General features: G+C 37.2%; 1 annotated feature.

Annotated features, from left to right (window-relative positions):
* Positions 5,722-8,108: an enhancer, noted in NCBI's record as "VISTA enhancer hs1341". NCBI's record gives its function as "enhancer in: forebrain[9/9]" and the evidence as "EXISTENCE:transgenic organism evidence [ECO:0001131][PMID:17130149]".

Raw genomic sequence — 26,265 nt, 5'->3', positions numbered from 1 at the left:
TAGGGAAGTAACTTGTATGATCAAGTCCTATAATGGTCATTCTTTGATTTAGAAATATGTTCTAAACCTGTCACTTTGCATGAACTTGATTTTCAAAGGAAAGAAGAAAAAAACACTGCTTTCTCCAGTGGGAATAGCACAATACACAATAACAAAATAGAGAAAGTTAAAAAAAAAACTGCTTACTGTTTTATCATTTTATGTGTATAGGAAATAACTTTAAGTGGTAGATGCATGCTTAAGGATTAAATTATACACAACATAGCTCACTATCATTACCGTCGCACATCACTAAACTGAGACACTCCTAAAACTGTCATCTTGTCAGTAGTCAAAAGACAGTTGAAATGCTGGTTTGAATTTTATCTCTTTTATCTCCTTTATGAAGTAGGAGAAGTGCATTATAAGATTCACATATGAAGAACAGAGAAACAAATGGGTTAAGGGAATGAAATGAAGGTATGTTTAGATCAGGAAGGGACCTTAAAGATAATCATTTCAAGCCCCTTAGTTTGTCAGTGAGGCAACAGACACCCAAAGAATTCAAATGTCAGCCCAACAACACATGCAACTGGGGCTACACATCTATATCTCCCACATATATACTTGCAGAATCAGAATCTTTAAGAGTGGGATCCAAAATCCTGTGGATTTAAAAAGCTGCTCAGATTATTCAGATGCCAAACATCCAGGGACCAAGGTCCACAAAGCACTGAGCTATACTTCCTGTGGCCATTGGCTGGACATTCAGTGTGGAAGATGGCAGGTATAGCCTGTTTATTTTCTCCAATTTAAATAGCTGTATCAGCACAAAATATCAGATTCATAAATGTCATGTCTACCAACCCATCTACACACTCTACATCCACCCTCAAAACAGATAGGCTTGACTACAGCTCACAGTTCTTTCTTGCATTATAAAAGCATTGTATCCATTATTGTGCTGCCCCTGTCACCCCCAAAAAATCACAGAGGCTATTCAAAATATATGTTTTGTTTTTTTTTTTGAGATGGGAAATTGGTATGTTAATTACCTGACTGTGCTACTGTTATATTAATAGTGTTGTACACATAAACATCAATGGGACAAAAAAGTACATTTACCACAAAAGCAATCCTATACATGATATTTATTTGCTTGCCATTCCCCCCATAGTTTGCCAGTATAGCCTGAGTGCCTGCCATGGGAGCATCCTTGCCCCAAAAAAGAATTTCAGAAGGAAATAAACTCTGTCCTAGCCACAGAATCAGATGGATCTAAACATGTTTCTCTAGCTCTGATGTGTCTTCTAAGTGTCAGACTCATTTATTCAAGTGTCTACTAGACCTCTCCACCCACATGCCCCATGCGTAATTCAGACACAGTGTGCTCCAAATCAAAGTCATCATTTTCTCCCAAATCTGTACCTCCGCTGTGCTTCACACATTGGTTACTCCATCCAATCACGCGAGGCAAAAATCGGGGAATCACCTGTATCTGCTCACATGTATTGAAATTTTAGTTGCAAGTGAAAGAAATTCAACTGAAGTTGGCTTGAATAGAAAACATAATTTAATGAATACTTAATTGCAAAGTCTATAAGGAGATGCTATCTCTAAGTATGAATGAACTTAGCTAAATGATTTTATAAAATTATTCTCCTGCTCTTTCCTGTTCTCAGCTCTTGTCTATCATTGGCTCCTTTTCTAGATTGGGTATGCCAAGCTTATATCCTTCCAGTGTTAATTCCAGTGAAAGAGGTTCTCCTTCCTAATAATTTCAGCAACTATCCTGGTCTGGTTAGAACAATGTAATTCAATGCATACCCTGGCCCAGTCCCTATGACCAGGGATGTGGAACTGTTGGGCCACCTGCACACACCGTGGGTGAATGAGATCAGGAAATGGACTGAGCATGGGGGAGAAGTGATTTCCTAAAGGAAAACTGAGGTGCTATTTCAAAAGAAAAAAAAAAGTAGAGGGGAACACTGCACAGGCAGAAACATCAAATTCCTCCTTTCACTTCTTGAGCCAAAGAATTGCTTAGTTTCAGTGATTCTCTAGACATGTCTCTTATTTCTCTCCTTCTCTCAGATCCACTGTTATGACTTACTTCAAGCTCTCACCATGTCACATCTGGAATTGCAAAGTCCCTACTTAACAGTCCTGTATCTGTGTTGCAATTGAAACCTGATCATGGTTATTTTCTAGCTTAAAAATCTATCAAGGTTCGACTGTGTGTAGTACAAAGACCAGGATTTTTAGCAGGATATTTAAGGCTCTCTAGGATTTGTCCTGCTTCATCTCTCAACACTCCCCAGCACACACCCTAAGGTGGCTAATAATCATACTAACACTAACAAAGAAAAATAATATTTCTTGAGTTCTTACTAGGCATCAGGTTCTACACAAAGAGCTCTCTGTGCCCTCATGACAACCTTCTTTCTATCTTCATTTTACAAATGAGAGAGAGGCTTGGAAAGGCTAAACAAATTAACCAAAGTCACATAGCAAATACTTATTAGTGCTAAAGCTAGTATTGGAACTCAGACAGGGTTCTAATGTCTGAAAACAGTCTGATCTCTCAACTATTACAGTATATTGCCATACTAAACAACTTTCAGTTCTCCAAACTTACCATGTTTTTTTTTCCTCTGCTGAATATGTCTGTTACATGTCTGACTGATCAACCCCATGCAACTTCAAGATCTAGCTCAAGTGCCTCCTCTTTGAGGAAGCTTTCCCTGACACATGCAAACAGAACTTATTGCTCTCCCTTTCTTAGTGATAAATGATAACTTGTGAACATTGGAAGCTTAAAGATTTAAGATAATGGGATGATTAAATAAATGAGGGTGTATGATAGAATATCAATATTAAAACAAATCATGTTTTAGAAAAATATTAGTGACCTGAAACACTGGTCCCAATCAATACAAGGTGATTGGAGAGGGAAGAGTAGTGTACAAGGTGCTAAATAATGTATGCTTCTACCTTCATAAAATAATCTGTGTCCAAAAATTGATGTATTCAAAACACAGTGATTAAGAAAATGGGCTTTAGTATCAGACCAAAATGGGTCTAAGCTCCATCTGTGTCACTAGATCTGGGGCCTTTGGGAAAGGTACATAATCCCTCTGAACCTCTGAAAATGTGTGTGTGGAGACGTGTATATCTATAACATGTCTAGCCTATATCTATGTCATATCTACAGCTATATTTCTACCTATATAGAAAGAGACAAGATGACAATAAGAGACTGGAAGGGAACATATACCAAAAGATAACAATGGTTGTAATTTGATTGATATTGACTTTCTTCATATTTTTCTATATTTTCTAAATATTCTGCAATGCATATGTGTTTCCTTTATCTATATTCTGATCATTCTATGCACTAATATGCTGTGTCTAATTTAAACTTTGGGCCCCAGGAGCAGAAACCGCATCTAATTATCTAATTATGCATCCCGCATCACAGCCCACATGGCATCAGTGTTAAATGACCTGCTGGTTAGCATCGCTACAGCCATGGCAGATCTATCTGGTATACTTAGGAGGTTCTCTTTTGAAATACAGTCAATTTTTGACAATTTAAGGGCTGATTATCTAGTCTTAAATTAACCATATCCTTATATTCTACAACATCTCCCTCCTGCTGACCAAATGTGAAGGTTTCATGGCTCCTTAATATCTCTACCATGACAAGAAGAGAGAAAGCAAAAGTGATGATATTGTAATCAATCAAATTGCTTACTCTCTGGAACCATTGATCATTATGTTCACTCTGGAAGTTCTAACATGAGAAATTTCTTTTAAAATAAAATGGCAGGGAAAAAAACTTTCTCTCTCCTAAGAAAAGATTCTATTTTCTTTTTATTGACAAAACTATGAAGCTGTGTTTTACCTTTTGTCTTCGGTATTACAAGTCTTACTATTATTTATTGTCGTGTCTCCCTCCTTTGCTTAAACTTGATTTTCCTGTTAACCTTATTTGTACGTCCCTTTTTGGTAGCATGTCTCAAATTATTTTTTGAGAGAGTTAGGGTACCAATAAATTCACTAAATAATTATCAAACTTGAAAACTTGTGTTAATAAATATCAATACCTTATATTATTTTGCATTGTTTTTAGCAGTGTCACATTCATGATCTCACTTATTTCTCTTATTTCTCCTTGTCCTGTAAATAAGACAGCCATTTCCCCATGTTCCAGATACAAAAACTGACAAAAAACCTCTGGGAGAAAAGGAAGGAATTGCTATGAGTTCTAGAGCTAGATGACATGAGTTTGAATTCTAGCTCTATTTTGGCTCTACCTGGAGCCCTTGGATAAGCTGTTCAGCTTCCCTGTCCCTCAGTATTTTTAACTGTAAAATGAGGAGGTGATAACAACAGTAGCTACCACAAGGAATAACTGTGAAGATCAATTAAGTTACACATATGAGGCACTCAAATCGGTGTCTGGCACATACTAAGGACTCATAAATGTTTACTGTTGTTGTACTTAAGTAGATGTCAACTCACTTCCTAAATTGACCATTTATCTGTCTTGCATTCATTTGTGCTTGGTCAGCTGTCAATCCTGCTGGACTGAGATCTGTTTTTGCCATAGATAAGAAGAAATGGGGCCGGGCATGGTGGCTTATGCCTTTAATCTTGGCACTTTGGGAGGCCTATGCAGGTGGATCACCTAGGGTCAGGGGTTTGAGACTAGCCTGGTCAACATGGCGAAAACCTGTCTCTACTAAAAATACAAAAAAATTAGCCAGGTATGGTGGTGGGTGCCTGTAATCCCAGCTACTCAGGAGGCTGAGGCAGGAGAATGGCTTGAACCTGGGAGGCGGAGGTTGCTGTGAGCCGAGATCACACCATTGCACTCCATCCTGGACGACAAGAGCAAGACTTCATCTCAAAAAAAAGAAGAAATGGTTTCCCAAGAACAGTGAACACGTGATTAAGTGGTCATACTAAACCTCGTTTTAGAGGGAGAAAAATTCCCTTCAGGATTTTTTTTACCCTATCACTAAAAATGCATACATTTTATCATACAGTGCAATGGTTAACAGAAGGCTTTAGTACCAGACAGCTTTGGGTGTAAACCACTCTTGCGCCTTGCTAGCTGCAAAGCCTTGGGCAAGCTCCATAATGTCCGGAGCCTTGTACTTGATTATAAAATAGAAACAGTGATGGCTCTTCCTTGGTATGGCCATTATATAAAGCACACAGCACAGTGCCAGGACTAGAGCGGACGGTCAATAAATAAAACAGTGATCACTGCTGTGTTGTTATTATTATTATATAGCAAGCCACAGTACCAAACAAAATCAAATTCAATTTCTTTTACAATATTTCGCAATTCAGACTTTTAAAAAATTCATCACTTTATCCAAGTGAGACAAAATTTCACAGGATTTACTATAGTTGAGGAAAAATTTGTGCCCCCAAAATAATTTTGTTGAATTTTTCCTTCCAGGTTGCTGGCCAACTCTAGTACTCATTACATCAATACCATTTTTAAAAAGTAATTTAATATAGATTTAATCCCTTTTGTTATATAGAATCCCAGAATTATATGATGAATATAAACTTCAAAAGCTATTTAGAATCTCACCCTCATTCTGATACAAATATTCGTCAAAATGGAAGGTTTGAATATTGAGAGGATTTAAGTCTAATTGTCTTCAGTAACTAAAATCAAGTTAATTAAATTTATACTTGGCAACAGATTTTATTGAGGGACAGCAACCATTGCATTCCTAGAGCTGTCATCTTCTTTTTTTTTTTTTTTTTTTTTTTTTTTGAGGTGGAGTCTCGCTCTGTCACCCAGGCTGGAGCGCAGTGGCACCGTCTTGGCTAAACATAGCCTCCACTTCCTGGTTTCAAGTGATTCTCCTGCTTCAGCCACCCGAGTAGCTGGGATTACAAGCATGAGCCATCACGCCCAGCTAATTTTTGTATTTTTAGTACAGACAGGGTTTCGTCATGTTGGCCAGGCTGCTGGTCTCCAACTCTTGACCTCAAGTGATCCATCGGCCTCGGCCTCCCAAAATGCTAGGATTGAGGTGTGAGCTACTGTGCCCGGCCCTAGAGCTGTTAAAAAAAAAAAAAAAAGCCAAGAACACAAGTAGACTTTCCTTTACGAAAAGCTAAAAGCTAAAATGCAATGCAAAGCCCTAAAAGAAAATCTGAAATGCGAAGCCCTAAAAAATGAAGAGAGGGTGGCTATTTGATTTTCGAAAAGATTCTTTAGTGAAAAAGTAGTTTTCTTCCAAAATCAAGCTTTATGTGTATTTTCAATGATTCAATGGTAAGAAATTTGGTTTCACAGACCACAAATATTGAAAAATTTGTGAAATTATGCTTGTACTTGGTGTGAATAAAAAGCCCAAATTTTTCACTTTGATGCCATTATTTTTATGCATCTTGTAGCACTTCCCTATAGTTTAAAAATACTCATCAGTTTAGATGTATTGGTCTTTATCGTTTTAAAGTGGGTCTGGTGATCTTGTGTATCTCACCACAACTGATGTAAAAAATGCAGTGTCCTGACAGCTCGCATTAAGCGTCACATAGAAAAAGTATAATTAGCATTTCTGTGCTAATTAAAAGTGATGCTGGGTTAGTTCCAATATCATGCTTTTAAATGGCTGATGTCTCAAGAGACCAAAATTGGAAAAAAAATGCATTTCAAATGGAAAAATCCTGCGCAAACTTTCTTAAATGATTCAGATTTGTCACTGTTGTTATTTACAACTCATTATAATGGTAGGCTTCAAGATGACTTCTTTTAATCAGTTTACCATTTTCACTTTCCCCACTTTGCAAGCAGTAAGAAATTCAAGATGTTTTTCTGCTTCTTTAAATCCTTTGACCGTCTGCTTTCACACAAAATTAATTAAGGATTTTCTAAATAAAGAACATGCCATGAAAGAATGAAGCAATTCAGGATTTTCAGTTTTCCCTTTATACAGTGCAAAGCACATAGCGTACTCAGCCACTTCAGTCTTTCCTACAAGTGAAAATTTTAAAGATAAATACCACCTCCCTGAACCCAACCATTTTTCAAATAAACAGATGATTGTCATTGATTAAATACTTTTTTCAAACATAGTCCAATTATTCAAAATCACAAAGGTTCTACATGTTTTTAAATCTGATTTTCTTTCCAAACGAATGTCGGAGGATCACCAAGAGGTGGGGAGAGAGGGAAGCTATTGTTCCACCACATTCCATTCCTGTTAAATCAACTTGATATACGCGATAAATTAAGTCTGCACTGCAGGTCAGTGAATTTCTATTAACTACTTATTATGGAAGAAAGGAAAGCAGCCCAGTCAAGAACTCTTACACATCAGCCAAAGCAAGCTGTCACTCTGTTTAACTTTTACAATAAGTGTTCCTCGGTCTCACACATGTGAAAGAAAAAACATTGTTTGGCATTTAAGCTCTTATTGCCAAGGTGCATTAAGGCAAAGAACAAGGCTAGACTGATTATTTCTCTTGTTTAAAAGGCTAGGAAACTCTGGATTTTGCTAAGATTTTGCTGATTTATAATGTAACCGTTTTAAAATAGGCCTCTGGGGATTCTGAAAACATGGCTACCCTCCTGTAGTTTATAACAGCTGCACTCTCAACTCCAGTCTATCTGCTTTTATTGGCTCATATGACTGCTGAGTGGAAGTGAGGCCTCCCCTCTGAGCAAGTCTCCAAAAGAAGAAATGGTTCAAGTTTTCCCCATAGGGGCTAGATGAGCAAGAGACTACAGGAGATCAACCTCAGAGAGGATCTCATCACAAAGATCACAACTCCTGAGATGCTGGAAAGAGCTTGGGCCCCAGAACACAGTGGATTCTAAGCCCCATAAGGATGCCTGGGCTGCTTAAGCAAGAAGTGGTAGATGAGTGAATAAAAAGCAGCTAAGAAGGTGGGTCTAGTTCTCCCTGTCCTCAGCCCTGTTGAGTATAAGGAAAACTGGGACTGAAGGCTTTTTCCTGGGAAGGCAGCCTTCCTGGGAGGCTGGCAGCCTGCCTATGCCTACGCCATTCACCCACAATGCAGAGACCACTCCTTCTATCCCTTCCTGAACTGCTACCAATCCATGTCTTCAATGATCACAACTGAGCCCCGGGAAAGATAAAAAAAAATTAGTGAATAAATGAATAAAATATTCTTAAAAATTATAATAAAGCCAGAGAGAGTAAGGTCATTAAAAGCAAACAGAAACACATGTCTAGAAAAATAAAACGTTAGGAAAATAAGTGATGATGATATAAAAGATGTATATTACAATAAGAGCAATCACAAAGCAAATGACAAAACGCACTTACTGTAGGAAAATCAAAATGAATCAAAATGATTTCTCAAATAAGCAAATATTAGTATTAATAGATGCATTTAGAGAGTGAGTGGTTACTGTTAAGACCCAAATTAGTGACTTGGAAAAGCAAGTATAAGAAACATCTCGGCCGGGCGCGGTGGCTCGCGCCTGTAATCCCAGCACTTTGGGAGGCCGAGGCGGGGGGATCACGAGGTCAGGAGATCGAGACCATCCTGGCTAACACGGTGAAACCCCGTCTCTACTAAAAATGCAAAAAATTAGCCGGGCGTGGTGGCGGGCGCCTGTAGTCCCAGCTGCTCGGGAGGCTGAGGCAGGAGAATGGCGTGAACCCGGGAGGCGGAGCTTGCAGTGAGCCGAGATCATGCCACTGCACTCCAGCCTGGGCGACAGAGCGAGACTCCGTCTCAAAAAAAAAAAAAAAAAAAAAGAAACATCTCAAAACACAAAGCCAAAGTAGAAATAGATGGAATACATATATATATGTATAATATGTGTATACATATATGTGTGTACATATGTGTTATATATGTATATACATATATGTGTGTATATATGTATTATGTATGTATATGTATATATATAGAGAAAGAGATAAATATGAGCAGATAAAAATATAGAAAGTGACAAATATTAAGAGAAAAGAAAAAAAGACTTGTAGGACAAAGCCAAGAACTTAGTGTCTTTTTCTTTTCCTAAAGAAGGCAGGAAGAGATGACAAAGGCACAATGTATACATAAATACATAATAGAGAAAATTTTCTCTGAACTGAAGAAACGAGTCTGCAGAATGAAAGGACAAAGTTCAGTCATAGACTAATTAGAAAAGACATAGACCTGAGACTATCCTAATAAAATTTATGAATTCTAAGGATAAAAAGAAAATTCAGCAAACTTCCTGACAGAAACAAAACAAGATGAGTTACCACAAAGGAAAAAGAATAAGGCAGGCATCAGACTTTTCATCTTTAACACTTGTGGCTTGAGGATGATGAAATGACCTCTACTGGACCAGGGAAAGGAAAGCACTGTAAGAATCTTGACAGGGGAAGGTGGGATAAAGGGTGGAAAGAGGATACATGTCAGTGTTCTGAGAATCACTTTATTGGCGTGGGGAAAATGGAGGGAAGCAGTGCCTCTTGGTAAAAAATAAAAAAATTGAAAACTAGCAACTCATTTTTCAAATAATATTAGAGAAATACATATAAAATTATAACTACAGGGAATGGAAAAGTAACCATTAATGGACAGAAATGGTATAGTGGGTCTTCCAAATACATAAGCAGAAGAATAGAATAAGCAAACCAATTAAAATCAGGGTAAGGAGATAAGGAGCCAGGTGCAGTGGTGCACACCTGTAGTCCCAGCTACTCAGGAGACTGAGGCAGGAGGATAACTTGAGCCCAGGAGTTGGAGGCTGCAGTGCACTATGATTGGGCCTGTAAATAGCCACTGTATTTTAACCTGGGCAACATAGTGAGATCCCATCTCTAAAAAAAAATAGAATAAGGGAGAAGCAGAATGACAACATAAATAATAAAGTAAAAGGAGAGAAATAAAATTTTCATTAAAGTAACAACAAATAGACTAAATTCTCCATTAAATGAAAGAGACTGTCAAATTGAACAAAAAGACAAAACTTTGAATTATGCAGTTAAAAAATATTGTACAACACAGTGATTAAGAAAGTTGAAAACAATGTGTTGGCAAAGACAAGATAATATTAATATTAGATAAGGTGGAATATAATGTTAAAAGCCTTAACCAGGAAATAGATGATCATTAGGTTTTAACAAAAGTCATAATTTAAGAAGATATAAAGTCTCAGCTACTTGGGAGGCTGAGGCGGGAGAATGGTGTGAACCCGGGAGGCGGAGCTTGCAGTGAGCAGAGATCGCACCACTGCACTCCAGTCTGGGCGACAGAGCGAGACTCAGTCTCAAAAAAAAAAAAAAAGATATAATAACTCTCTCTCCCTCTCTCTAAAATAACTATATATAATTCTATATATAGCAAAATTATTATAAATGCAAGACCTTAATAAAAACATAATTTTAGTTTGAAACATCAGTGTATCTTTTGAACATTATATAACTCTAGTTTACAAGAAATAAGTAAGATCAAAGAGAAATTAAAGAGTGCAATTGGTAAAATTCACTTGATAAATCTGTTATTGGCTGAATTGTGACCCCCAACCCAATTCATATGCTGATGCTCTAACCCCAAGTAATTCGAGTGCTTTTAAAGATGTGGTTAAGTTAAAATGAGGACATTAGTGTGGGCCCCAATCCAATCTGACTTGTGTCCTTAAGAGGAAATTTGGATGCAAAAAGAGGCACAAAGAATGTATGGGCAGAGAGGAAAGACCATGTGAAGACGCCTTGAGAAGGCAGACATCTGCAAGCCAAAGAGAGAGAGGCCTCAGAAGAAATCAAACCTGTTGACATCTTGATCTTGGACTCCCAGTTTTCATAACTGTGAAAATAAATTTCTGTTGTTAAAATCACCCGGTCTGTGGTGTTTTGCTATGGCAGCTCTAGCAAGCAAATACCATCTATATTGAACATTTTAATTCTCAAATAGAAAATATACATGCGTGTGTGTGTGTGTGTGTGTGTGTGTGTGTGTGCACACATGCTTGCTTGCCCTCAGTGAGACAGGGAAATGGCCCATGGTTCATTTATAAAACTAATCACATAGTTAACCATAGAGAAAATCTGTAATATACTTTAAAAACACATGCTACATTCTCCAATTATAAACTGATACAATTAGAAATAAAAAGTTGCCCCCAAAACATTATAACTATTAGGAAATTTGAACACTTAGAAAATTTTTGGACCAAAATAGAAAAAATTTTTGGACCAAAATAGAAATCAAAAGAGAAATGATAAACTATTTGGAAAGCAACGAAAAGAATACTTCTCCTAAGGGAAGGAGATCCATTAGTAGAGAGATTTGAAAGGTTGAAAAAACAAAAACTCTACCATTAGAAAAAAAGCACTGAGATCTTATAGGTTCTCAGGTTAGTTTTTCAAACCCAGTGTTTTTCAACTGGAGCAGTATTGGCAATTTCGATGGAATAATATTCTGTTGTGCAGGGCTGTCTTGTGCATTGTTGAATGTTAACCCATTCCTAGCTACAAGGTACAAAACAACTTTAGCATCTTACCAGAACTGAGATGACCAATACACCAGCATGTATAAAAATGTTCTGGTAAACAGATACTCCCAGTGTTATTTAAACTACTTTAGGCCAGAGAAAATGAAGAAACTATCACTTAATTGAATCCAGCTTACCGTTACACTAAATCATGATAAGATAGTAGAGAAAACATTAGTACAATCTCATTTAAAAATTACCCATATTATCAGATAGGGAGACTTAATACCAAGAAATCATTTATATTAATATCTATTTATGTATCAATACAATTTCTAATGCAACTTCAATTAGAGTTCCAATATGATTTTTTTTTAGATTTTTGCTACAATGATTGTATATTTTTTTATGAGAGGATAAATACTTGCAGACTGTGGAGAAAGGAATTTTTTGAAAGAGTAGAAGAAGAGTCTGCTCTACCAGATATCAGAATATCATATAAAGAGAAAATAATATTAACTTAAAATGGAAAATTAGATCATTGGAACATAATAAAAAATCAAAATCAAGAATCAGATACAGCTGGCCCTCAGTATCCACAGGTTCCACCTCTGTGGATTTAACCAACCACACATTAAAAATATTTGCAAGAAAACCTCAAAATAACAATACAATAAAAAATACAAATAGAAAAACTATACAGTATAACAACTATTTACATAGCACTTACATTGCATTAGGTATTATAAGTAATCTAGAGATGATTTAAAGTATACTGCAGACTGTGAGTAGGTTATATGCAAATACTACACATTTTATAAAAGAGATTTGATCATTGCAGATTTTGATATCCATCAGGGGTTCTGGAACCAATCTTTTACGGATACCTAGGAACAACTATACTAGCATATGAGGATTTAACACATAACAAGGGTAGCATTTCATTTCATCAAGTAAAAAAAGAATATTTAATAAAGTATCTTGGATATCTACGTGGAAAAAAATTGTTTGAACTACCATCTTACACCATATAACAAAACAAATTTTAAATGCATTAAAAATATAAACATAAAAATATTAAACAAATATATTTCAAAAAATTATAGAAGGCTATGTGTATCATTCAAACTGAAAACTCACATACTATGAAAGGTAAGATAGGCATATTTGGCTAAGTAAAAACTAGATACTTTTGATGGCAAATGTTACCCTAAACAAACCCAATAAATAAACAATAGATTTTTTTTAAAAAAATTGCAAAACTGGAAAAACGGTTAATATATGATGTATGCACAAAAAGTTTCTACAAATTAACAAGAAGACAGTTTTTCCCCATAGGAAAAGAATAGGAGGAAAAATTCACAGAAGACTGGATATAAATGGCCAGAAAATACTCAAAGATGTTCAACTGCACTGGTGGTGCAGAAAATGTAAAAGTAAAATGTAAATGTAAAATGCCCATTAGATTGGCAAAGTATGAAAGAGTAATAATCACTGTTCTTGCTGTTAACATGTCCATTTCACATTTCTTAAAGAGGATGAAAATGTGTACAAGCGTAGAAATGTGTTTAAGAGGAAATGTGTATTGTAAAAGCCTTGTTGATAAACAATGTGTCCACATTCATTAAAAACGAAAATACACTTGTCTTCACTCAAATTCCCTTTCTGGGAATCTAGCAAAATAAATGAAAGCTCAAATACATAAGAATATGGTACAGGATATTTACTGCCTGCAAAAACCAAGAACAATGACAACAACGAATGGAAACAATGGGAGTGATCATCAACTGGATCCACCAAAGAACATTATACAGTCATCAAAAAAGAATGAATTAGAGCTCTGTCAGTTGGGATAAAAGGGTTTTCCACAAGGTATTTCAAATAAGAAAATCTCAATATAGAAAAAAATGCTTCTAAAAAACACATTATTATAAAACAATAATGAAACTTCTTAAAATTTTGCACTTATGTACATATATGTATATGTGTGCGTATGATTACATCATCATGGAGATAAATATGGATTATATGAGGACTTCAAAAACTTCATGAAAATGTGTATTATGAGAAAGCTATGCATGGATTTCAAAAAATTTTTTGTACCAAATGCACTCATACTAACTTGTTATAACATGTCTAAACAGGATCTAGTTTGAGGCATTAAGGATAAAATATCAGTTTGAAAAGAGTCCCTATCAGAGCAACATGAATCCTGCTAAAATTGAAATAAGAATAAACTGCAAATTTATGGTGAAGCTTGAGTGGAAGAGTGGCAAAATCACTGATGCTTTATGAAAAGTTTATGGGAATGTGCCCCAAAGCATTCGGCAGTTTATAAATGGGTAACTCATTTTAAGAAGGGACAAGAAGATGTGGAAGATGAAGCCCACAGTGGTAGATCTACATCAATTTGAAAGGAAAAAATTCGTATTGTTCATGCCATAATTTAATGGACCAACAATAAACAGCAGAAACAACAGCTAACACTATAGATATCTCAATTGGTTCAGCTTACACAATTCTGGCTGAAAAATTAAAGTTGAACAAACTTTCCGCTTGGTGGGTGCTAAAACCCAGGTCAACTGCAGACAAGAGCAGAGGATTCTATGGTAATTTTAAATAAGTGGGATCAAGATCCCGAAGTGTTTCTCTGAAGCATTGTAACAATAGATGAAACCTGGCTTTACCAGTACAATCCTGAATACAAAGCACAATCAAAGCAATGACTACCAAGAGGTGGAAGTGGCCCAGTCCAAGCAAAAGTGGACTGGTCAAGAGCAAAGGTCATGGCAAAATTTTTTTGAGATGTGCAAATATGCTTGTTGACTTCCTGGAGGGTTGAAGAACTATAACATCTGTTTATGATGAGAGTGTTTTGAGAAAGTCAGCCAAAGCTTTGACAGAAAAATATCCAGGAAAGCTTCACCAGAGAGTTTTTGTCCACCACGACAGTGCTCCTACTCCCTCCTCTCATCATCAAAAAGGGCAACTTTGTAAGAGTTTCAGTGGGAAATCATTAGACGTCCACCTTACAGTCCTGATTTGGCTTCTTCTGACTCCTTTGTTTCATAATATTAAAAAACCTGTAAGGGTACTCATTTCTCTTCAATGAATAATGTAAAAAAGATTGCATTGACAAGGTTAAATTCCCAGGATGCTCAGTTCCTTAGAGATGGGCTAAATGGCTGGTATTATCACTTATGAACGTATCTTGAACCTGATGGAGTGTATGTTGAGAAATAAAGTTTATATTTTTTATTTTTATATTTTACTTCTATTTTTCCGCGAACTTTGTGGAGCCCCTTCATATATAATATACATTTTTATATATTATGTTATATGCCTAATTATGTGATATAAAAATATAATTTATTTATATGAGATAAATAATAGTTGGCAATGATGATGGGGAAAAAAGAGGGATAATAGACTATACTAAAATTATTATATTTTTATAAAAGTATATGTGTACATAGTGGTAAAATTTCAAATATATATCATATTTTATTGATTCTAAGATATACTTTTCTGCCTTTTAATATCTCTGAAATCAGAATGAATCTTACAATTTATGGCATCTCATCCTTCACAATAAAGTAGCAGGGTTTTTTGGGTTTTTTTTTTGTTTTTTTGTTTTGCTTTATAATGATGCACAAAATAATGATCCTTTGAGTGGATCAGATATGGTATTATACTAACATCATACCCCTCAAAAAGAGCTTTTAACCCAAGCTGATAATGGTGCATTCAATTAAACAGTAAAGTAGAGCTTTAAAAAACAGTCTTTTTCACATTTCTTGAAGTAGACTTTTTTTAAGTGTGGAAGGATAAGAAAACCTTTACCTATTGGGAAAGATTCATCTAGTAGCCAAATAATCGAACAGTGTATTATACTCTTATAAGTGGATTAAAGGAAGAGAGGCCATGCATTGAAATCCACATAGGAGGGAGGTTTAAAATAAGAGTATTTCCTTGTCCCTTTGGCAACCAAAGCAAGACAACAAAGGATTCTTCTAGCCTGGATTGCCACCTCAAGCCCTGATCACCCCAATCTTCTTCCTGCTGTTCCTACAGGGAATAGCGGACAAGAAAGGCAGTGTTTCTCTGGGCTATGATGTAACTGAATACCCAGAGGAAACTGAAATTTGGCCACAGTGCTCACTAAAGTGGAACCCTTAGTTTGAATCCCAGTATGCCCATTTAGTTCTATCTGATTTCATTAAGGGTTTTCCAAAAGTCTGCATTTAGCAACACGAACTGTTATCTGTGCATATTTTCCATTTGCTTTAAAAATAGTCCTTTAAAATTAATATGCAATGAACAGAATATTTTGGGTTTTTTTTTGTTTTGTTTTTTGTTTTGTTTTTTTTTTGAGACAGTCTCACTCTGTCACCCAGGCTAGAGTGCAGTGGCACTCCAACCTGCTCACTGCTCACTGCAACCTCCACCTCCTGGATTCAAGTGATTCTCTGCCTCAGCCTCCAAAGTAGCTGGGATTACAGGCATGAGCCACCAGGCCTGGCTAATTTTTGTATTTTGTAGACACTATCCGAAGCACTTCTACTCTTTTACGATTTGAATATTCAGCTGATTCTCAATCTGAAGCCGGTTTTTATACTTATGACTCCTGAAGTCATTTTTCCTTCTCCTAATGTCATCCCACTGCATTGATCAAGATCTCCTAATCCAGAAAGGAAAGAGAAGAGGCCCACAAAAGAATAAACTCAAACACTTTGGTTCCAAAGGCTGCTGGCTAAAAATTACTGTTTGATTTCACTTTTTTTTTTTTTTTTTTTTTGAGATAGAGTCTCTTTCTGTCAACCAGTCCTAGGCTCGAGCAGTCCTCCCACCTCAGCCAACCAAGTAGCCGGATCACAGGCACACACCATTATACCTGGCTATTTTTTTGTATTATTTGTAGAGACTGGATTTTGCTATGTTGCCCAGGCTAGTCTCAAACTCCTAAACCCAAAGGATCCTCTCACCTCCACCTCCCAAAGTGTTGGAATTATAGCGATGAGTCACTGCACCCAGGCTTTACTTCATATTTAATGGTCTTTGTCTTATTAAGTTTGGGCTTCTATAACATATTACCACAGGCTGGGTAGCTAAGCCAACAAACGCTTATTTCTCATAGTTCCAGGGGCCAGAAGTTGCAGATCAGGGTGGCAGCACAGTTGGGTTGTTACTGCAACTTCTCCTTGTATCCTCACATGATAGAAAGAGTTGGCTAGCTTCCTGGCTTTCTATGAGGACACTAATCCCATCAATGAGGGCTTCACCCTCCAAATACCATCAAATTGGGATCAGGGTGTCAACACAGAAATTCTGGGGGACCCATAAAGTCCATTACAATCTTAGTACAGTCTGGCATTGGCTGGGTAGTGGAATATATAAAATAAATATCTGACCCAATTCTAGAACTGAAAATCAGGAAGTAAATATGAGAATAATTTATAGAAAGTAGTATCACCAATTAATCCCTCCCTGTATGCTATTTGCAAATATAGCATTTGTATGAATGTCCTTTTTCCCCCCAAATGATGTCCCCATTCCTTCTTTCCCAGGCTTTCTTGTCCATCTGTGAAACATACAATCTGCCCTTGGCTAATAGGGTCTGCTAGTGGCTGGTACAAGATATTGTTCTGCCCCAAATTCTCCTCATCACTGTCCTGTCCCCTCCTCAGTAGGATCATGAATATGATATACTGGTCCATTTTCTCACTCTTCATCTATTTGTAGCTCAGTTAATTTTATCTCTGGAAGCATTTCTCACCAATACATATTATCTACAACTCGTTTTCTTGCCTACTTTTTTCTAATGTCAATTGCTTCAGGAAAGTTCCTAGGGAAAAGTTCACACATATCATGTGATTAGATAAAAATAATTTTTAAAAACCTGCTCTGAATGTTAAACATTTAAAATTTGGAAGTTTTTAAGAGAAAAGAGGATTTATATTTTCAAAATATTTGCCCAAAATAAAAAGAGAGATCTAAAGTGGAAATTGCAGACCAGGCGCAGTGGCTCACATCTGTAATCCCAGCACTTTGGGAGGCCGAGGCAGGCGGATCACCTGAGGTCAGGAGTTCGAGATCAGCCTGGCCAACATAGTGAAACCCTGTCTCTACTAAAAATACAAAAATTAGCTGGGCATGGTGGCAGGTGCCTGTAATCCCAGCTACTTGGGAGGCTGGGGCAGGAGAATCGCTTGAACCCGGGAGCCAGAGGTTGCAGTGAGCCGAGATCACGCCATTGCACTTCAGCCTGGAGGATAAGAGCAAGACTTCATCTCAAAAAGAAAAGAAAAGAAATCATCCTTACTACTTGTACTGTTTGAAGTATAGTCCAAGAAGAGATTGGGAGAGAGGAAGTTAACAAGTAGACAAGAGAATATTCAGTGACCAATAATGTGAAGTCCTTTTTTCATGACCAGCCAAAGAAAGCCCAAGGCCAAGACAAACCACATGACAAAAAAAAAAAAAAAAATTAATTAAATGAAGTTAATCACAAGGAAAAAATACATGTAGAGAGAAAGGCTAGAAGTTCATAATGAAGGGCCATTTTCCTCTTTGTTTTGAGGAGCAGTGGAGAGAAGGTAACTACCTGGGATTTACTGAGCCCGGGGCCTCTCTGGGTGTAGTTGTGCCAGTTGTTAACTCTGCAAAGGCTCTCAACAAAAATGTTGAATGGGGCTGAACCCAACCTGTGTTTCGTGGTGTGGGGCTACATTTGTTTGGAGAAAAGTTTAGCTTTTTCTTCACTAAAGGGATGTGTCCACCTAGAGGGGACATCTTTTTCTAACTAGCATGTGGCAATTTTTTTTAAATGGCTCCCAAACTTGTCATTACTCCTTCCACTAAGCAATAAGGCCTAGGGTCTACCTACTTTGAATCTGAGTTTTTTACTGGTTAATCAATAGAAAATAGTGAAAGTGATAATATGGCAGCTTTCCTTTCCTGCCCTTTGGGACATTCACCTTTGGAAGCTAAGCACCATGCTGTGAGGAAGCCCAGGCAACAAAGAGAGGCTGCACCCAGGTGTTCTGCCGACAGTCCCAGCTAAGGGGCTGTCCAACAGCATCAACCAGCGAACATGCATGTGAAGACACCTCCAACTGATATGTAGCTGCTGGCTGACTGTTACAGTCTTCTAGCCTCTCCACTTGATGCCCCAGACATTGTAGAACTGAGACAAGCCATCCCTGTTGGGGCCTGTCTGAATTCCTGATCTACAGAGTCCATGAGCATTAAAAAAAGAGGCTTCTTTATGCCATTATGCTTTGGAGTGGTTGGTTATGCAGCAATAGATAACTAAAACATCATCCACCCAGGACCTATTTCTAACTCACAATGAGGCTCTGTAGGCTAGCAGCAGCCCTGTCTTACTCTGTGCCAGGTTGTTGTTGCTGAATTGAACCCTCAGGCATACACTATCATTATCTCATTTCATGAAGCCAGTTCTCCTTATTCTCTGAAGCTCGGTCTATCTTGGCATACAAGGCCCTTGGCTCATCTCTCCTGTCTGTCTCATCTCCTTCCACCCCCGCAAATCACACACTGTGTTCTTTTCTGCCTCTGGGTCTTTGCATATGCTGTTGCCTCTACCTGAAACATCTTTCTTCCCTTCCCACCTTCCATCTCCATTGATGCATTCTCACTTTCTAATTTGGTTTTCTAATGCCAAAATTATCAGCAATGCCAGAGATTTTTGTATTCTTTCTTCCTGAACTGACTATAATTCTGGAAACTTCTTCAACAGTACTTCATTCTCAGTGGTTTTCCCTAGAGCTTCCAGACACACATTCTTCTCCACTAGAAGTGCCCTCCAATGGTAGTGAGGGAAGAAACATGGCTACAAGCCACATTCCTGAATCAGCCACCTTAATATATGTTGCCCTGTACTGGACTCAGATGCAAAGTGTGGAAACTCATTCCCACAAAAGAATGATGTACATTCAAGAAGCTGCCAAGTCAATTCTACCCTATTTAAGCAAGGGCACGCATCACAAAGGAATTGGGATTGTTTAAACCTCTTACTGACTAGAACCTTAGCATAAACAAAAGTGGAAAATAGCCAAGAAATCACATTTAGCTTTCATTTCATTTGGCCTGAGAAAAGCTGTCACAAGGTTCTGTTGAACCAGTAGCAACATGACAACCCACAGCCTAAGTTGGCTTCAGTGAGCATTTGAGATGACTGAGCTCAGAATTAAGCCTCTGGAGGTCTAATAAGAACAGATTAAAAGCTGTGAACAGGGAGCAATTCATTTATTCCCTATGAGTTTTTACACTGTTACTTTTAGTTTCTTCTATACATAATATAATAATCCTCACCATGAAACAATTAGGACAAAAACAAAAAGGACTGGATTTAAGAAAATGATAGATTTGATATGAAAAAAGCGTACACATAATGAAATAAATTCTGTTCTCAAACATAATCTTTCAGGTATTGTGAAATGAGACAGCCCTAATCTCTCAAATAACAAAGATTAGGCAAAAATGACAGAATGTGAATGTCAAAGAGACTCACAGGAATAACTAGAAAATTGATAGATACCCTGAGTTTTCAAAAATGCTTCTTAAAAACCTGAACACATTCTTTGACACAATACAAAATCCGTGGGCATATCGTGGGAAAATAAGTGTTTATTTCAAATATAAGCCTTGAAATTTATAAATAAAAGCAGACAGGCTCTTTTTCCCAATGCTGAAGTCACTGACATAGTAACAAGCATTTCAGTTATTTTTTTTAAATGTGTATCTCTCTAAATTAAAGAAAGCGATGTCTGTCTGTTTCTCTTCCCTATCTACCTGTCTTTACTTTTTTTTCTTCTGTCATCTCTGTCCATCTCTTCTTTTTCCCCCTTTCATTTTCCTTCTTGCTGTAACTCCCTTTTCAGTCAGCTAACCTACTCTTTGTTGCCCTACTCTGTGCAAGTCAATTTGCTGGGCTTTAGGACAAATGTGAATACAAGGTGGGGTCTTTGTTAACCTGAAAAGTGCAATGGAGTTGAAGAGAGAAGACAAGATCCCAGATAGCTGCCATCCAAGGTAGTGTCTGACCAGAAATGCCAAGGTGTTTTAGAGGGTGCAGAGATGACTATTGGCTGCTGGGTTCAGAGGAGACATCATCAGAGCTGGGCTTTAGAAGATGGGCCTGAAGAATGTTCCAGAGAGGGACATTGTGAGCAAAGACATAGGATAGTAAGGACAATGTTTGCTGCTAAGGTCAGTACAGTGGACTATTTTGTCCTTAGTGCAGGGTTCACATAGGGAGGTGGTAAGTGATCAGAATGCAAAAGCAGATGGGACCCAAATTGTAGGTGACTTTGAATGCCAGCAAAGGAATTTAGAGTGTACTATCTACCATGAATAGTAAATAGTGTTTACCTGATGGGACTTATTTAAAGATTTACCTTTGAGAATTCTCCCGTCCTCTTTCTCTCATTCTGCCAGCTCTCCTGTTGCTATTTGTCACATTCACAAAACAAAATGCTGGATTCTTTATTCTATTATCTATTATGAATGTAAGTAAACTAAGTATTTTATACTTCTCTTTTTTAAGTCACATACGTTGCTTTGGTTTTTGTGCATGAGTTACCAACATTTCTGCTCCCAAAAGAAAATTCTCAGTTCTGGTTATATAGAAATATAAGATTTTCAAGATTATCTTTCAGATAAAAAGAAGAAAGATGAGATAAATCCAAGTCCACTATAAAATCCAAGGAATAAGTCACCTGGGATATAAAATCTATTCCATAGAGATCTTTTGGAATTATAGCTAAATACTTCTGATTTAAATAGAGCCGGGCTGGCAACCCTTGAAATGGCCTTTCCCAATTCCTCACTAAAATACCTATAAAGTCATAGAAAAATATGAAACTCACACCACCAGTAAAATAATAAGAATTACAGACAACTTATTACTAGACTCTAAGAAGTATTTCAACTAAATATATGGCTCACAAACATGGATTAAACTTATGCTTGCAGAGCCTCAGAGACCCTGATCTGGAAGACCATAAACCTGAGCAGCCAGAGGCTGTTTACTCACCCTCCTCACTCTCCCCTCTACCCGCCCCGAACCCACTCATCTTTCTCTCTTTAGACTAAAACTCCCAGAAAATAGCAAGGCAAGAACTAAACAGTGAATGATGCATTACTTGCTCTTCTAGTGCTGGACACTGTAAGAAAACCTTTTTACTTCCCCAAGGGAAAGCTCTGTACTTAGAGGAATCAGAAGGAATTCTAAGAATTAGCTTGGCAGCCTCAATTGAGTACTGTGCAAGAGGATGTATCTTTCATGATACTCAAAGAGAAAGCCATTAGGAAAGAAAAGAGTCAAGAATAAAAGAAACAGGATGAGTTTTGGAAACAGTAAACTGAATACAAAAGTTGCTGAGTGAAACAAAACAAGGAAGAATTTCAAGAACGTGAAAATTGCAATAACAGAATTAAAACACATTGAAGCTCATAACAGTGGAATTCATATTGCAAAAAATCAAATCAGAAATAGGGTGGGAGAGAACATGAGAACTCAGTCATTTGTGAATGCCAGGTAAGAAGGCAAGACAAATAACAGAATGTGCTCAGTATGGCCTTGGTTGTGATAACAGATGCAGACAAAGGCATGAGAGAAGATCAGCAAATTACCTCTTATGAAGGGTGGCTCTTCATGAAGATTCTGCAGATGAATCAAGAGTCCAACCAGGCAGCAAAGAGGTTAAGAAGAGAGTTAGCTGCAACCTTAGTAGGAGATTACAAAACTAAAACATAACTTGAACTTAGGAGATGTCACTGCCTTCTAAAGGCTTGGACTCCGGTCTCTTTTGATCTTAGCTACAGCAGAGAAATAATATTTTGCAGTGAGTAAGCATAAAGACAATGTTAGGGTTGTAATCCTGGATACATCACTATGTGACCCTTTATTTCTTTTTTGCCTAAAAACTTAAAATTCTAATGCAATCATAAGAGGAAAAATCATAGTTTCTTTATCATAGAACTATGATAATTAAGAGTTATACAAAGCACTTAATCTGGCACATAGCAAATGCACAGTAAATCAGTTGTTGTGTGTTATTCTTATTGTTTTTATTCCAACCAGAGGAAAGAATTTACATACATGGCTCTAGAGATGAAGAGAAATACAGTAAAATAAAGACGTTAAAGAAATGCAAATTCCAAAAAAGCAGTTTTGGAATTAGTTGCAATATTTAGTAGGCTGCATAATTTGAACCAACAGGCACCAATCTTATCCACAGGTAACAGATTAGGAATTCCCTATTGTCATAACAGCAATACTATGCTGCCAACCTAGAACCTATGTACTCTGGTCAAAAATCTCTAGGCAATATCCATTCTCAGCCAATTGATGAAACACTGAATGGTACCGTTCTCCCTGAATGGTAGTTCCATACTCCAGAATTGTAGCTCCAATTTTGGCAGAATAGCTACCCCAATTTTTTGAGAATAAAATTTAGTGGCTATATGTGTTTGCACTATAAAAATATTTGTATTAAATATAGACATGATAAAGTAAATAAAATCCACCAACTAATACTTTTGTGTTAAGTTTGGGAATAAGGTTCTAATCATGGAGCAATATAAAAAGGTTTAATGTCTAACAGCATATGGCATATCAGTGAATATGACAGATTAGCCTTGGGAATTCAATTTAATGGCGTATTGAGTAATAGATTTTAGACAGTTACCTTTAAGTGGAAAGATTTAGAGAATTTAATCAAGTTTAAAAGTATCGGAATGGTTAAGAGAACATGTGATTCGTTTCTTAATTTATTAGATTTACTGGAGTCGTTAAGGTTTGGCTGTAGGTCAGACATTTGAAAAGCTTAAAAAGAAAACTGAATGTTTTAAATTTATAAATGGAGTTTAAATATGTAGAGGAATTTTATTAACCAAGTTGTAAAGGGACCTGCTTGGGAGTTCAATGTGTTCAACTTAAATTGATCAAGCCTTATTCAAAATCTCCCTTGAAAGCAATTGCTAAATTTTGCTAGATTCATAAATCAAGTAATAAAATATGTAAGGTGAACTTAAGGGCTTGAAAAATGCTGGAGTTTTTTTTTAATGTACCTTTAATAAGTAAATACCTTTAATAAGTGCATATTAAATTAAAACCTTGGATAACAGCATAGATTTTTTTTCTCCACACAAAAGCAATCCTCACAATTGACATGGAGATTCCATCTAAGAATTTTAAATATTTTAAAACTCTGTACAAGTGAAACTTCTGTTTCACTTGTCAACAAGTGATTTGTCAACAAGACTGAAAATCACATTCCAAAGCTGGAAAAAAATGACTCGAGTGTGCAGACAAAATGGGCTTACTTTGGTCTAAGCAAAATTAAGAACTAAGATTACATGCTAGGGGGAAAAAAGTGAATTACAATGATAAAGGGAAAAAATCACATTAGACTTCAGATAAAGATTGTGATCCACAAAGGAAAAATAAATCAGGCTAGTCTCAGACTTCTCTTTATAGTAAAGACTAGAGGACAACAGATCAACAGCTACAGGGTTTGAAAGGAAGAGATTACTATCTAAATATTTTATACTTCACAATTTGTTATTCATGTACGAAGTGAAGATAAAGACATTCTCACATATGTAATGAATCTAAAACTATACTTGAAAATACATTCCCATGAACAAAGATGAATTTTTAGAAGGAGCTAAGAAATCAAGAAGTCACGTCTAAGAGGATGGAGATGAGCATCAGCATGAGTTAAAAGGTAAGCTAAAATCATTGCAAGTGTTTCTTTCAGGCCAAATGCATTAAGCCCAGCCATTTAATTTCTTCCCTCCCATTTTCCCAATGAATAGAAGAGGAATCTTTTAGCAGTATGCCCTGGAAGGGAAGGATAGCATCCATGTGGCAAAACGCTAAAAACTTTCTCATCACTGAAGATAAAGCCAGATTAAGAGATGACTTAGATGTGTTCCATTTACACGGCCCCTTCCTAAGAAGGAGCATTAAATCCAGGATGAAATGAAGGGAGTCCTGGCTCCATCTCCTTGATATTTCTAAGCTGCAGTCTTGGGCTAGATTTAGGGCAACCGGACACCACTTGTACTCTGTTTCACCCCTGATGATTATCACTGACATCAGAAAAAGGGTGGCCCTAGGATCCACTGGGCAGCCACTTAAAGCAAAAAGCTGGCATGATGTTGGGAATATGCTGGGCTGTGTTGCAGAAGGAGACCAGATACTAAATGCAAGTACCAAGTCACAGCTTGATCCAGACATGGTGCATACAGAAAACCAGTCTGTGGTTCAGAGGTTTCACCAAACAGAGGAAAAAAAAATCTTCCACTGCCATTTATGTATTTGTCCATTCAATAAATATTTACTTGAGTGTCAACAAGGTAGTTAATGAAATAGGCATGATCTTTGTGCTCTGTCTATAGAAGACATGAGACAAATAAATAGGTAAAGGCCATAATATGCCCAATCGTAGGTGAAGTAAGTGGAGATAGCAGACTGTCCATAGAGGCATCCAGCTCAGGCTTGGGCATCCGGGAAAGATTTGTTAAAGGAAATTGTTATTTGTATGTGAAAAACAAGTTGTAGTGAGAGAAAGGTTTGCAGTTAGAGCAAGTGGGTAAGTACATAATAGAAGACTTCAAGTAAAGAGAGCAGTAAGGGTTAAGGTCAAGAGCCAAGAGGAGAGAACCTGAAACAGAGGCAGCATGGGGCTAGGTCACAGAGAATTTTGTGAGTCATGTTTAAAACTTTGAACTTTACCTCATGAACAACGTAAGAGTGCTAAAAGGTTTCAAATAGTGGAATATGATCCAATTTTCATTTTGAAAGATGATTCTGCAAAGAATAAATTGGGGTTGGAGGCCATAAGACAAATGGCAGAGTGATGGGTTAAAGGCAGTTGTAACAATGCAGGGAATGCATGATCATGCCTGACCCATCTGATGGTAGGCATGGAAAATATATCAGATTTCAGAGGTATCAAAAAAGCTGAAATAACAGAACTTGATAATTAGTTTTATATTAGTTATTTATTGCTGCATAGCAAATTACCACTAACTTGGCACAAATACTTTTTCTATCTCACAGTTTCTGTTGGTCAGGCTTATCTGAGCATGGCTTATCTGGGTCCTCTGCTTCATGGTTTCACCCAAGACTGCAATCAAAGGGATGGTCAGGGCTGGGGTCTCATCTGAAGGCACAACTGGAGAAATATCTGCTTCAAAGTTCAAGTGGTTTTTAATAGGATTCAGTTCCCTGCAGTAGTTAGATTGAGGGCTTCAGTTCTTTGCTGTATGTTCCTCTCCAACATGGCAGCTGGCTTTAGCAAAGCCAGCTAAGTATAGAGTCTAGTAACCAGGCAGAAGTCTTAATCTTATGTAACCTAATTATGCAAGTGATATGCCCATGGCATCTATTGGTGACAAGCAAGTTGCTAGGCTGGCCTACACTCAAGGGGAAGGGATTCCACAAGGGCAGAAATACCAGAAGGCGGGAATCATTGAGGGCCATCTTTGAGTCTGCATGGCTATGTGGGTTAGGATGAATAAAAGGGTGGCTGGCCATATTATTGGGAACACTGAAACAGGGATTAGTTTTTACCAGAAAGTAATGAGTTTTGGAGATATTGAGTTTGGGGGTCTAGGAGTACATCCATGTAGAGTTGAGGAATGCTTGCTGGGATACAGGGTTCTAACACTTAGTATAGTCACCTGGGCTAGGGTAGGAATCATAAGTCCCTCAATTGTAACGTGCTTATTGAAGCTTTGACACTAGATGAGATGACCCAGGGAGGGCAAGTAGATAAACAAAACCCTAAGATATGTGTAATGCAGCCCAA

This window comes from Homo sapiens, chromosome 12 (assembly GCF_000001405.40).
Source record: "Homo sapiens chromosome 12, GRCh38.p14 Primary Assembly".
Classification (NCBI taxonomy): domain Eukaryota; kingdom Metazoa; phylum Chordata; class Mammalia; order Primates; family Hominidae; genus Homo; species Homo sapiens.
This window is presented reverse-complemented; position numbering and strand designations above follow the sequence as displayed.